The 14,811-nt window shown below is 45.9% G+C and overlaps 1 annotated feature.

Moving 5' to 3' along the window:
- Nucleotides 14,220–14,299: an enhancer, noted in NCBI's record as "active region_17680". NCBI's record gives its function as "activates an Ori minimal core promoter by ATAC-STARR-seq in GM12878 lymphoblastoid cells {active_cell/tissue: GM12878}" and the evidence as "EXISTENCE:reporter gene assay evidence [ECO:0000049][PMID:35858748]".

A 14,811-nucleotide genomic window follows, 5' to 3' on the forward strand; every position in this document is an offset into this window, starting at 1 on the left:
TTCTGATTCTTCTGAATCAGAAGAAAGTTTTAACTCTGTGAGTTGGATCCACACATTGCAAAACTTTTTCACAGATAGCTTGCTTCTAGTTTCTTTAATGGGATATTTGGTTTTCCACTATAGGCCTCAATGGGCTCTGAAATGTTTTTATGTAGAATCTACAAAAAGAGTGTTTCCAAACTGCTGAATTAAAACAAAGGTTTAAATATGTGACATTATTTCACATATCACAAAGTATTTTCACAGATAACTTGTTTGTAGTTTTTATCGCGGGATATTCAGTTTCTCACTATAGGCCTCAGGGTTTGAAATGTCTTTCCTTAGATTTATGAAAAACGTATTTCTAGCCTGCTGAGTGATAACAAATGTTTAACTCTGTGAGATGAATCCAGACACTGCCAGTCGTTTTCACAGATAGCTGTTTTCTAGTTTTGTGTGTGTGGGATATTCGCTTTTTTACAATATGCTTCCAAGGTCTCAGAAATTCCCATTCGTAGATTCTACAAAAAGAGTGTTTCCAAATTGCTGAATTAAAACAGAGGTTTAACTCTGTGAGATGAATCCAAACATTGCAAAGCATTTGGACAGATATCTTCTTTCTCGTTTTAATCGCAGGATAATTGATTTTTCATTATGGGCCTCAAAGGTCTTTGAAAATGCTCTTCATAGATTCTACAATAAAAGTGTTTTCAACTTGTTGAATCAAAGGTTTAACTCTAGGAGATGAATCAACACATCACAAACTATTTTCACTGATAGGTTATTTCTAGTTTCTATCGCAGGATATTCAGTTTTTCACTATATGCCTCAAAGGGCTCTGAAATGTCCCTTCATAGATTCTACAAAAAGAGTGTTTCCAACATGCTAATTAAAAAAAAAGCTTAACTCTGTAAGAAGAATCCACACATCACAAAACACTTTCACTGATAGCTTGTTTTTAGTTTACTTCGTGGAATTTTTTTTTTTTTTTTTTTTTTTTACTATAGGCCCCAATGAGCTCTGACATTTTTTCTTTTTAGATTCAACAAAAATAGTGTTTCCAACCTATGGAATCAAAAGAAAGGTTTAAATTTGTAAGACGAATCCACACATCACAAAGCATTTTCACAGACAGCAAGCTTCTAGGTTTTTTCCGCAGGATATTCTGTTTTTCACTGTAGGCCTCAATGGGCTGTGACATGTTTATTGGTAGATACTACAAAAAGACTGTTTTCAGCCTGCTGAATCAAAAGAAAGGTATAACTCTTTGAGATGAACCCACACATCCTAAAGCATTTTCACACATAGCTTACTTATAGTTTTTATCGTGAGATATTCTGTTTTTCACTATAGACCTCCATGGGCTCCGAAATGTCCCCTTGTAGATTCCAGAAAAAGAGTTTTTCCAAAGTGCTGAATTAAAACAAAGGTTTAACTGTGTGACATTATTTTACAGATCACAAAGCATTTTCACGGATAGCTTGTTTCTAGTTTTTGTTGCAGGATATTTGGTTTTAAACTCCAGGCCTCAATGTGCTTCAAAATGTCTCACCTTAGATTCTACAAAAAACTTGTTTCCAACGTGCTGAATCAAAACAAAAAGCTGGCTCTGTGAGATAATTCCATGCCTCGCAAAGGCTTTTGACAGATAGCTTGCATCAAGTTTTCATCGCGGGATATTCCATTTTTCTCTATAGGCATCAGTGGGCTCTAAAATGTCCCTTTGTAGATTCTACAGTGAAAGTGTTTCTAAACTGCTGAATTAAAACAAAGATTTAGCTCTGTGAGATAAATCCAGACATCACAAAACATTTCACTGATAGTTTGTTTCTAGTTTTTATCGCAGGATAGTCAGTTTCTTACTATAGGCCTCAATTTGCTCTGTAATAGCCCCTCTTAGATTCCAGAAAAGGAGAGTTTCCAGCCTACTGAATCACAAGAAATGTTTAACTCTGTGAGATAAAATCACACATTGGAAAGCATTTTCAGACATAGCTTCTTTGTAGTTTTTATCGCGGGATATTTGGTGTTTCACTATAGGCCTCAATGGATTTTGAAATTTTCCCTCATAGGGACACAAAAAAAAGGGTCTATCCTTCTGAATCAAAACAAAGTTTTAACTGTGAAAAGAAAGCCACACATAGCAAAGGATTTTTACCATATCTGCCAACAAGGAAACTCTTGTTCTCCCACTTTTATCAGAGGGCTGCCTGATTTCTATAGGATGAGAAGCAGGCAGCAGTGTCTGGATGTGCCTGCTCATGTAGGCTCTGTTACAATCATCTGCATGTTCTTCTTCATGTGGAGGGGATCTTTTATGGATCTGTTGCTAGGGGGGACTGCCTCTCTCTACAGATCTTTTGGCTGCCAGGGATTTCAGGGAGCAAAAAATACTTCCAGTAGGCTGGCTGCACTCCAGGTTGTGAGTAGTGGTCTCACTATGGGGGATTGGGGTGTTTGCAGGAGGCTTTTGGGTCCTCTGGCAGGAATCCTTGAACATGGCTTGGACTCTAGCACAGGCCCTCTCATTCTCCAAGGCAAGCATTGATTTTCCATTGCTTTCATGAGGAGTCCATACTACTCTTCATCAGCGCTCCTAAACACACTTTTTTGGCTTGCAATTACCTCAGACGGCCACTGAGACACTCTCTGAACTGCATCTGCACCCATGAGGTCAGTTCGAAGTGTGAGACTTCTGCTTCACCTTGAACTTGCCTTTCTCATGTTTCCTGCCTTTCCCAGAGAGCCATGTTGAGTAGCAGGAGCCCCTGTGAGGCCCAGGATGAAGGGAGGCAGTGAGCTCAAGGGCCCTGCCATTTTCTGCTGACATCTGCCTCTGGGGTCTTGGGTATGATTTCATCACCTGGACACCCCTTAACATCTCAGCAGACTGTATTCCCTTCCCCATGGGACCCAATTCTTGCACACAGCCTCTTTCGGGAATGGAATAAGAGGAACAGTTTCCAGCATCCACATCACAGTCTCCAAGTGCCTCCTCCTCCAGCAGGACCTGACCATGTAGATGGCCCGAAGGGGCCTGCTTAGAGGGTGTGGGGGTGAGTCTTCTTAAAATTTGCCCCCCTTGGTGATGTCTAGGTACAGCCCGCCTGTGTTCCCCAGGCTGCTCTCTCCCAAGAAGAGCTTGCTGCAGAAACACACAGCCTCTGAAGCTGCTGGGATGTGTGTTTCTGTGGGAGTGTTTCAAGTTGTGGATATCTGCGTGTGAATGTGGTCATGTGAGTGTGTGTGTGTGTGTATGTCTGTGTGTGGGGGTAAGTGGAGTCTGCTAAAAGAAATGTGGCTAACGCACTGCAGCACTGTTTTTTGTCACCCCACCTTCTGGTGGCCTGTCTCTGTGGCTCTGCTTGGGCTGAGGGTCTCCATGTTCTTCATTTTTCCATGGTTCCTGAATCCACAGTGAATTGGAAGAATGGCTGACAACCGCTGGGGTCAAAATCACCTCCCTTTGCAAAAACGCCACATTTCTACAAAGAAGAGAAGCACACCACACCCCAAAACAGACAACTTCCCGTGCTTTATTGTTCTGTGACCAACGCAGGGCCAGACCCCAGCAGTCCAGTCGCAGGGCTTCTTGAATTTACCTCTATTTTGGTTTGTAGCTGAGCAGGTGCTTCAGGTCATCAGGGAGGCACTCCTCCATTGTCTCAGAATCTTATTCTGGGACACAGAGTGTGAGCAACAATAAGGTCAGATAGGGGTGAGGATACAATCTGTTGAGGTGTGGATGGGATCTCACACCTTCACCTGCAAAAAAGGTGCAGAAAGATGACACAGAAGTTGCTTCCAACTGCATCCCCTCATTCCCTTCATTGCACAGTCAACAGCATGGCCTGGTGCCCAGGTGGGATGACTCAATCGTGCAGGGAAAAGTAGGATTACAAACTGGGGCCCTTCTGGCCAGCTCCAGAATTGAGCTTTCATTCCCAGAGCCACATTGGAGTGAGATGGATTGATGCTGGGTTGGATGTGGCCTCCACACTGGCCTCCTCTGTTCCTGACTTCCATGTTCCTTGTGGGCCTAGAGTGTCCTAGGTCTGGCTCAGTCTGACTTCCATGTTCCTCATGAACCTGGGGTTTTTCTGGATCTGGCTCAAAGTCTTCCACACTAAAAGTTTCCCAGTTCATGGAGGACGACTCTCATGGGAATCCATTGCATGAGTGTTTTCTTATAAACACTGTCACATTTTAATGACTGGGCAGTTGTGATACTTTTGGAATCATAAATTTCGATTATATCCACCATCAAGATAACTCTTGTTCTCCCACTTCTAAAGGACAGCTGCATGACTCCTGTAGGATGAGAAACAGGCAGCTGTGTCTGGCTTTTACCTGGCAATCTAGGCTCTGTTTCATGTCATCTGCACTTCCTTTCTCATTGTGGATGGGGTTTTTCATTGGGCTGTTGGTGGATAGGACTGACTTTCATTGTGGATATTTTCGTTGCCAGGAATATCAGAAAGCAAAAGGCATTTTGGGTAGGCTGGCCACACACCAGGTGGTGGGTAGTGGTCTCATAGTGGTGGCTGGCATTGTTTGCACTTTGCAGGAGGCTTTTAAGTCCTCTGGCAGGAATCCTTGAACATGGCTTGGACTCCTGCACAAGTCTGCTCATTCTCCCAGGAGAGCCTTGATTTTTCTTTGCTTTCATGGTTTGTCCACATTGCCAATCAACAGCACTCCTGGACATTATTCTCAGGTTTCAAATTGCCCCAGACAGCCTCTGAGACACTCTCTCAACCTCATGTGCGCCCACGAGAGGCCTGTTTTAGGTGTGAGAACACTGCTCCACCTTGGACTTGCCTTTGTCGTGGTTTCTGCCTTTCCCAGAGAGCTGTGCTGAGAAGCAGGAGCCCCTGTGAGGCCTGGGATGAAGGAAGGCAGGGGGTTCAAGGGCCTGGCCATCTTCCACTGACACCTGCCACTTGGATCTCAGATATTATTCCATCACCCAGAGACCTCTTAACAACTCACCAGACTTTATTCCCATCCCCAGGAGACCCAATTCATGCACACAGCCTCTTTTGGGAATGGAGTCAGAAGACCAGTCTCCAGAGCTCACCTCACAGTCTTCAAACTCCTCCTTCTCCTGTGGGACCCTACCATGGAGATGTCTCATGAAGGCCCTATGTTCGAGACTATTAGCGTGCTGCAGTGGGTTGCTTCAGGCAGCCTTTTTCTGGAGACTAGGCCAGCTCTGGCTGTACCATTTTCCTGAGCTTTGCCAGGCTTACAGCCCTGACAGCCAGGTGCCCGAGCCTGCTTGGTGAATGCACATGTGACCGTCAGGCCACCAGGCACCAGTGGTGAGCAGTGGCTCATGTCACAGTGAATGCCACCATTACCTGGTGACAAGTCCCTTCATCTTGGTGGAGAAGGAGTCCTCTGTGGATGTGTGTTGGCATTGAACTATCACCTGTCTACTCTGAGGGCTCTATGGGATATTCCCACAATCCTAGGAGTGGGCAGTGGCGAGTCAGCCTGAAGACACATCAAGTGGAGCCCCAGGAATAAACCACAAAATCCCTAAGGATCCAAAAGGATACCCACGATGAGTCAGGCCTGCCTAGACAGTGTGGGAGTGAGTCTTTTTGAAACTTCCCTCCCTGTGATTTCTAGGTACATCCCGCCTCTGTTTTCTGAGGCTGCTCTCTCTCAGAAGGAGCTTTCTGCAGAACCGTGCAGCCTCAGGAGCTGCCAGGCTGTGTGTTTCTGTGCGAGTGTTGTGAGTGTTTGAATGTCTGCGTGTGTGTGTGTGGCTGTATGTGAGTGTGTTTGTGTGTGTCTGTGTGTGTGTGTGAGGGGCATCTGCTAAAAGGAATGTGTTTAATGCACTGCAGCACTTTTTTTTCTAGTCCCTCCACCTTCTGGTGCACCTGTCTGTGTGGCTCTGCTTGGCCTATGGGGCTGCATGTTCTTTGTTTTTCCGTGGTTCCTGAGTCCACGGTGAGTTGGGGGGATGGTTGAGACTCACAGGTGTACAAATCACCTCCCCATACAAAGGAGCCATTCTTCTAGAAAGAAGAGGAGCACACCACTCTCAGAAGAAGACACCTGTCAGGGCCTCATTGTCCTGTGGTCAACCCAGGGTGTGACTCTAGCAGTCCTGTCCACAGGCCGCTTGAATCCAATTCGAATTCTGTTTGCAGCCGAGCAGGTGCTTCATGTCATGAAGGGAGCACTCCTCCAACATCTTGGGATTTCATTCTAGAACTAGGAGTGTGAGCAGCAATAAGTTCAGATATGGGTGAGCATACAGTCTGCTGAGGTGTGGATGGGGTCTGCACCTTCATCTGCAAAAAAAGGTGCAGACAGATGACACACGAAGTGCTTCCAACTCCACCCTTGCATTCCCTTCATTGCACAAGCTGTCCACAACATGGCCCCATGGTCAGGTGGGAGGACTCCAACTTGCGGGGAATAAAAAAAAGGTTTAACTGATACAAAAAGGTTTATCTCTGTAAGATAAATCCACACATCGCAAATAATTTGCAAAGATAGCTTCTTTCTAGTTTTTATGCCAGGATATTAGGTTTTTCAGTATAGTCCACAATAGGCTCTGAAATGTCCCTTCATAGATTCTACAAAAAAGTGTTTTCATCCTGTTGAATCAAAACAAAGGTTTAACTCTGTGAGATAAATCCACACTTCACAAAGCATTTTCACAGATAGACAGTTTTTAGTTTTTACTGTGAAATATTTGGTGTTTTACTTTAGTCCTCAATGTTCACGAAAATATCTTTTTTTTTTGTATATGCTACATAAAGAGTGTTCTCAACCTACCGAATGATAATAAAGGTTAAACTTTGTGAGATGAATCCACACATCACAAAGCATTTTCACTAATAGATTGTTGCTAGTATGTATCGTGGCATATTCAGTTTTTCAATATACTTGTCAGTGGGCTCCAAAATGTCCTTTTGTAGATTCTTTAAAAAGAGTGTTTCCAACGTGCTGAATCAATATAAAGGTTTACCTCTGTGAGAAGAATCCACCCACCACCAACATTTTCAAATATTGCTTGTTTCTAATTTTTATCTTGAAATATTCATTTTTTCACTATAGGCCTCAGTGAGCTACAAAATGTCCCTTCATAGGTTGTACAAAAAGAGTGTTGCCAACCTGCTGAATCAAAACAAAGGTTTAAGTTTGTGAGACAAATCCACATATCAGAAAGCATTTTCACAGGTAGCTTGCTGCTAGTTTTAATCACTGGTATTAGGTTTTTCAGTATAGCCTCTAATGTACTTTGAAACATCCCTTTGTAGATTCTATTAAAAGAAGGTTTTCAACCTGCTGAATCAAAACAAAGGTTTAACTCTGTAAGATGAACCCACACATGGCAAAGCATGTACACAGATAGCTTGTTTCTAGTTTCTATTGCAGAATATTTGGTTTTCCACAGTAGGCCTCAATGGGCTCTGAAATATCCCTTTATAGATTCTACAAAGAGTTTTTCCAACCTGCTGAATCAAAAAAAGTTTTATCTCTGATAGATGAATTCACACATCATAAAACATTTTCACAGACATTTTGTTTCTAGATTTTATCACAGGATATTAGGTTTTTCTCTATAGGCCTCAATGGGCTCCAAAATGTTTCTTCCTAGATTCTACAAAAAGAGTGTTTCCAACCTGCTGAATCAAAATAAAGGTTTATCTCTGTCAGACGAATGAACACATCACAAAGCATTTTCACAGATAACTTGTTTCAAGTTTTTATGATAAGATATTTTGTTTTCCACTGCAGGCCTCAATTGGCTTCAAAATATTCCTTTGAATGTTCTTCAAAAAGATTGTTTTCTACTTGCTGTAACAAAACAAAGGTTTAACTTTGTGAGATAAATCCACACATTGGAAAGTATTTTCACAGATAGCTTGTTTCCTGTTTTTATAGCAGAATATTTAGTTTTACAACTATAGGCCTCTATGGGCTGTGAAATGTTGCTTTATAGATTCTAAGAAAGAGTTTTTCCAACCTGCTGAATCAAAACAATTTTAACTCTCAGTTGAATCCACACAACACAAAGGATTTTCACTGATAGATTTTTCTAGTTTTTATCAAGGAATATTTGTTTTTTTATTATAGTTCTCAATGGGCCCTGAAATGTCTTTTAACACATTCCAGAATTAGACTGTCTGCAACCTGCAGAATAAAAACAAAGGTTTAACTCTGGGAGATGCATCCATACATCACAAAGCATTTTCACAGATAGCTTATCTCTAGTTTTCATTGTGGGACATTCGATTTTTTAAAAGAGGCCTCAATGGGCTTTAAATGTCCCTTCGTAGATTCTCCATAAATAGTGCTTCTAATCTGCTAAATCAAAACAAAGCTTTAACCTTGGGAGATGAATCCACTCATTGCAAAGCATTTTCACATAAAACTTTTTCTAGTTTTCATCATGGGACATTTGTATTTTTACTACAGGCCTCAATGGGTTCCAAAGTGTCTCTTCATAGGTTCTACAAAAAAAAGTGTTTCCAACCTGCCTTCTATAGATTTTCCAGAAACAGTGTTTTCAACCTCCTGAATCAAAACAAAGATTTAACTGTGTGTGATGAATCCAGACATCAGAAAGCTTTTTCACAGATAGCTTTTTCTAGTTTTTATCATGGGATATTTGTTTTTCACTACCTGCCAAAATGGGCTCCAAATTGACCTCTCACAGATTCTACAAGCAGAGAGTTTCCAACCTGCTGATGCAATACAAAGGTTTAACTTTGTATGATAAATCTACACATCACAAAGCATTTTTACAGATACCTTTTTTCTAGCTTTTATCACAGTATAATCTGTTTTTCACTACAGGCCTCAATTTGCTCTGAAATGTCCTGTCGTATATTCTACAATAAGAATGTTTCCAACCTGCTGAATAAAAAGAAAGATTTAACTCTATGAGATGAAATCACACATCTCAAAGCATTTTCAGAGATAGCTTCTTTATAGTTTTTATTAGGATTTTAGGTTTTTCACTATAAGCCTCAATCAATGGGCTTTGAAATATCTCATCAATTGTACAAAAAGAGAGTTTCCAACCTGCTGAATCAAAACAAAGGTTTAACATTGTGAGACAAATCCACAAATTGCAAAGCATTTTTACAGATAACTTGTTTCTAGTTTTTATCATGGGATATTTGGTTTTTCACTATAGGCCTCAGGGGGCTAAGAACAGTCCCCCCTTTGATTCTACAAAATGAATGTTTCCAACCTGCAAAGTTTCCAACCTGCTGAATCAAAACTAACATTCAACTCTGTTAGATGAATCCACACGTTGCAAAGCATTTTCACAGATAGCTAGTATCTAGTTTTCATCGTGGGATATTCAGTTTTTTACTACAGACCTCATTGGGTTTGAAATGACCCCTTGCAGATTCTAGAAAAATAGTGTTTCCAACCTGCTAAGTCAAAATAAAGGTTAAACTCTGTGAGATGAAACCACACATTGCAAAACATTTTTACAGATAGCTTGTTCTAGTTTTTATCATGGCATATGTGGTTTTTCACTATTGACCTCAATGAGCTCCAAAATGTCCCTTCCTTTATTCTACAAAAAGAATGTTTCCAACCTGCCCAATCAAAACAAGGTTTAACTCTGTGAGATGATTCTAAACATTGCAAAACATTTTCACACATAGCTTGTTTCTAGTTTTTATCCTGGGATATTTGGTTTTTGGTATAGGCCTCTATGGGCTCCAAAATTTCCCTTCATAGATATTACAAAAAGAGTGTTTTCAACCTTCTGAACCAAAACAAGGGTTTAACTCTGCGAGATGAATCCACACATCTCAAAGCATTTTCACAGATAATTTGTTGTCAGTTTTTATCAGGGATATTCGTTTTTTTATAATAGGCCTCAAGGACTCAGAAATTTCTTATTTTAGATTCTACTAAAAGAATGTTTCCAACCTGCTGTATATAAACATAGGTATAACTCTATGAGATAAATTCACACATAACAAACATTTTCACAGATAGCTCATTTCTAGCTTTTATCACAAGATATTCAGGTTTCACTATAGGCCTCAGTGGGCTCTGAAATGTTCCTTTGTAGATTCTACAAAAGAATGTTTGAAACCTGCAGAATAAAAACAAAAGTTTAACTCTGTGAGATGAATCCACACAACACAGAGCATTTTCACTAATAATTTGTTGATAGTTTCTATGGTGGGATATTTAGTTTATCAATACACTCATCCATGGGCTTCAAAATATCCCTTCATTGATCCTTGAAAAAGAGTGTTTCCAAAATGCTAAGTCAAAACAAATGTTTAACTCTGAGGGATAACCCACACATCACAAGGCATTTTCACAGATAGTCACTGGGAAGCTGGCCTTTCTGGAAAAGCCACCTTTTTGGCACCCCTCCCCTCATGCCCGTGACAGTGGCACAGTGCTGTATCCTGCCTGGGCTTTGGCCTCTGCTTTGTCCCTCCTCTTGCCCTGTCTCCCCTGCTTCTGAGGGGCCTACATGCCTCTTGCTCTGGCTGAATGTCTTCAACAATGATCACATCCCAGGCCGTCAGGGAGACACTTCCTGGAGATCCCTGTCGTGATTGTTTCTCTCTTTCAACCTGTTTCTGCTTGATAGGGCAGGATTGACGACCCTGGAGCTCTTGGCTTCCACACTTGTCTCAGACAGGGAAGCTTCCTTCCTCTCCGTGTTTCACCTCATGGGTGGGTGGATTGCCTGGAATGAGCACTAGGCGACCGTGACAGGCCTTGTCTTCTAGGACAGGTGGTGTCCCATTTCCTCTGCACTTCATGTCTCATTTGTGAGAGACATCCTCTCCTCTGCTCCTGGGTGGACTGACTCCCTGGATCTTTTGATGGTAAAGAATATCGGGGAAAGGAACCAAAGGGACTGGGCTGGGGCTGGAGCTGGGTCTGGATCTGGGGCTGGGGCTGGTTGCAGGGGAGGTTGGGTCAGGGCTACCTGGGCCGTGGAGGGTTGGGGGTGGGGTGAATTTTGCAGAAACCTCTTTAATCCTCTGGCAGGCATTTCAAAATGTGGCTTGGACTCAGGCACAGGCCCCCTCCTGGTTCCCAGTTGTTCTTTGATTTTCCTTGGCATCGATGGAAAGGTCACTTGATCCCTCCTTCCACCGGACACATGCCTGGACACCATTGTTGGTTTTGCCATCGCCCCATATGCCTCCGGTGACACACATTCACACCATCTGCTCTGGGATACGCCAGTGCCACGCTTGGTCGCATTGGCCTCACCTCGGAATCGCCTCTGTCTTTGTTTGCACGTGTCCTGAAAAGCAGTGTCAGCTTGGAGGAGACTCAGGGCTTTTAGAAGCGGGGCAGGCCACTGCTCTTTCAAAGGGGGAGGGAGGCAGAGGGCTCAGGGATCAGTGAATTTTCAGCTGACACCACGCGTTGAGGCCCATGTGATCATTCTGTGCTGCAGGGAGGCCCTGCCTGCCTCACCAGATGTGGTGAACCCATCCTTTCTCACCCAGAGGGGTCCAAAATCGGATCTGAAGGGGAGTTCTGAGAACCTAGCAGGCACCCTGAAGCTCCCCGTCCATCGGTGGAAGTCGGCTCAAGGAGGTCCTGAAGACTGGACTCCTGGGGGTTTGGCCCTGGGCCAGGACATCTGCGGCCCCCTCTCCCACGCGGCCCCAAACGGGACCCCAGATCCAGCCTCTGCCAAGGCTGCAGGAGGAGCCCCCCTGCTGCTGCGCAGCCACGGCCTTATTTAAAGGGGACGCAGCCCCACTGCCAGGAGCAGAGCGTTAGTCGGCCCAACCAATGCGCATGCGCGAGGCGTGAGCGGATTCTCCCATCACAGTGGTTCCCACGGTTGTCTTAGAAACCAGTCTCCGAGGCTTGGCAAAGCAGTTCTCCTTGGCAGTGCTTGGGTGTCGGGACTCCGAGGTTCCGGCCTGACCGCTCCACGGGGTCGACAGGAACGTCTCCAGATGCCAGGAGTCGCAAAGAGCCGACCACGACGATGAGACCACGGGCGGAGTCCAGGGGAAGCAGCAAGGCATCCCAGCCTCAGGCCTGCCCGGACGGTGTTCGGGTGAGTCTCCCCAAAAGTCGTGCCCCCGGGATCTCAAGGACAGGTCGGCTTGCGTGCCCCTGGGCTGCTCTCTCACCCGAGGGTCGTTCTCATCCAGAGCAGAACCCCGCAGCCTCAGGTGTTGCCTGGGGGTGTGTGTTTCTGTGCCACTGCTGTATGACTCTGTGTGTGTGTGTGTGTGTGTGTGTCTCCCATTCTCTCTTCTGTCTCTGTCTCTCACTCTCTGTGTGTTTCTTTCCCTCTCTCTGTCCATTTGTGTGTGTGTGCCCGTGTGCGAGTGTGTCTTTGGACGAATGTGCCCTGTGCGCCAAAAAGCGATTTCTCGCATGTCAGCCTTTCTTTGGTGAGCCTCTTTCTGTGTCTCTGCCTGGGTCCTGTGGCTGGCTGTCAATCGTTTTCACCCTGGTACCACTTTGGCTGTGTGAAGGCTTCGACCGCGTGAGGAGATGCGTTGGTCCCGGAGCAATTGAAATCTCATCCTCATCCTGAGCGGCCTCATTTTTAGGATCAAGATGACCACACTGCAGCCAAGGACGAAAGCCCCACAGGAGCTCATTGTTTTGCAGGAGAGGAGTGGACCCACGTCAGAAATGAGGTTGTATCTTTTCCCGGGTCTTCTGTGAGCAATGAAGCCACATCACGATAGAGTCTTGAAGAGGAATCCGGAAATGGGAGTTGGCAATCCCTGTCACTGGAACGCTGGCCTCTCTGGACAAGCCACACTTCTGGCCCCCCTCCTCTTATGCTCGTGGAGGTGGCACGGTGCTGTATCCTGCCTGAGCTCTGGCCTCTGCCCTGCCTTCCCTCTTGCTCTGTCTCCCCTGTTTCTCAGCCGCCTAGATGCCTCTTGCTCTGGCTGAATGTCTTCAACAAAGATCATTTCCCTGTCCGTCAGGGAGACACTTCCTGGAGATCCGTGTCATGATTGTGTCTCTCTCCAAACCTGTTTCTGCTTGATTGGGCAGGTTTGATGTCCCTGGAGCTCTTGGCTTCCATGCGTGTCTCAGACAGGGAAGCTACCTTGGTCTCCATGTTTCACCTCATGTGTAGGTGGATTGCCTAGAAGCAACGGTAAGCGACCGTGACCGGCCTTGTCTTCTAGGACAGGCGTGGTGAAACATGTCCTCTGCATCTCCTGTCTCATTCTTGAGGGACATCCTCTCCTCTGCTCCTGGGTGGACGGACTCCCTGAATCTTTTGGCCGCGTCTTAGATCTGAGGTGTTCTTTGATTTTGGTTGGCATTGATGGAAAGGTCACTTGTGCTCCCCTTCAGCCGGGCACATGCCTGGACACCATTGCTTGTTTTGCCATTGCCCCATATGCCCTCAGTGACACACATCCATACCATCTGCTCTGGTATACGCCAGTGCCACACGTGGTCGCCTTGGCTCCACCTGGGAATCGCCTCTGTCCCTGTTTGCACTTGTCCTGGAAAGCGGTATCAGCTTGCAGGAGCCCCAGGGCTTTTAAAAGTGGGGCGGGCCACTGCTCTTTCAATGGAGGAGGGAGGCAGACAGCTCATGGGTCAGTGAAATTTCAGCTGACACCATGATTTGAGGCCCATGGGAACATTCTGTGTTGCAGTGAGGCCCTGCCTGCCTTAGCAGATGTGGTGATCCCCTCCTTTCTCACCCGGAGGGGTCCAAGATGTGATTCAAAGAGGAGTCCTGAGACCCCAGCAGGCGCCCTCGAGCTCTCCCTCCATCGGTGGAAGTTGGCTCAAGCAGGGCCTGAAGACAGGACTCCTGAGGTCACCCGCGGACCTCTCTCCCACGCCGCCCTCTACTGGGTCCTGGATCCAGCTGCCGCGGAGGCTGCAGCAGGAGTCCCCCTGCCACCGCGCAGCTGCCATTGTTTCAAGGGGACTCCGCCTGACTGCCAGGAGCGGAGGGCGAGTCGGCCTAGCCAATGCGCATGCGCGAGGCGCGAGGCGCGAGCCGCTTCTCCCATCACAGTGATTCCCACGGTTGTCTTAGAAACCAGTCCAGGAGGCTTGGCAAAGCAGGAGCCCTCCGTGGCAGTACTTGGGCGTCGGGACTCCGAGGCTCTGGCCTGACCTCTCCACGGGGTCGACAGGAACGTCTCTGGATGCCAAGAGTCACAAAGGGCCTACCAGGACGAAGAAACCCCCTGGCGGAGTCCGTGGGAAGCACCGCGGCAGCCTAGCCTCAGGCCTGCCCAGACGGTGTTCAGGTGAGTCTCCCCAAAAGTCGTGCCCCCGTGATCTCTAGGACAGGCCTGCCTGTGTGCTCTTGGGCTGCTCTGTCACCCAAGGGTCGTTCTCATCGAGAGCAGAAGCCTCCAGCCTCAGGGGTGGCATTCGGTCTGAGGAGGGTGTGTTTCCATGCCACTGCCATGTGACGGTGTGTGTGTGTGTGTGTATGTGTGTGTGTCTCCCATTCTCTCCTCTCTCGCTGTCTCTCACTCTGTTTCTTTCCCTCTCTCTGTCGGTTTGTGTGTGTGTGTGTGTGTTTGTGTGTGCATGCTCTGGTGTGTGTGTGTGTTTGGACGTATGTGCCTGTGAGCCAGAAAGTGATTTCTTGCATGTCGGCTGGTCTTTGGTGAGCCTCTTTCTGCATCTCTGCCTGGTTCATGTGGCCAGCTGTCAGTCATTTTCCTGGCCGTTCCACTTTGGGTTTGTGAAGGCCTCGATCACGTGAGGAGACGCGTCGGTCCCGGAGCAATTGAACTATCATCCCCATCCTGAGTGGCCTCTTTTCTAGGGTCAAGATGACCACACTCCACCCGAGGACAAAAGCCCCACAGGAGCTCACTGTCC

Source organism: Homo sapiens, chromosome 20 (assembly GCF_000001405.40).
Source record: "Homo sapiens chromosome 20, GRCh38.p14 Primary Assembly".
In the NCBI taxonomy this organism is placed as follows: Eukaryota; Metazoa; Chordata; class Mammalia; order Primates; family Hominidae; genus Homo; species Homo sapiens.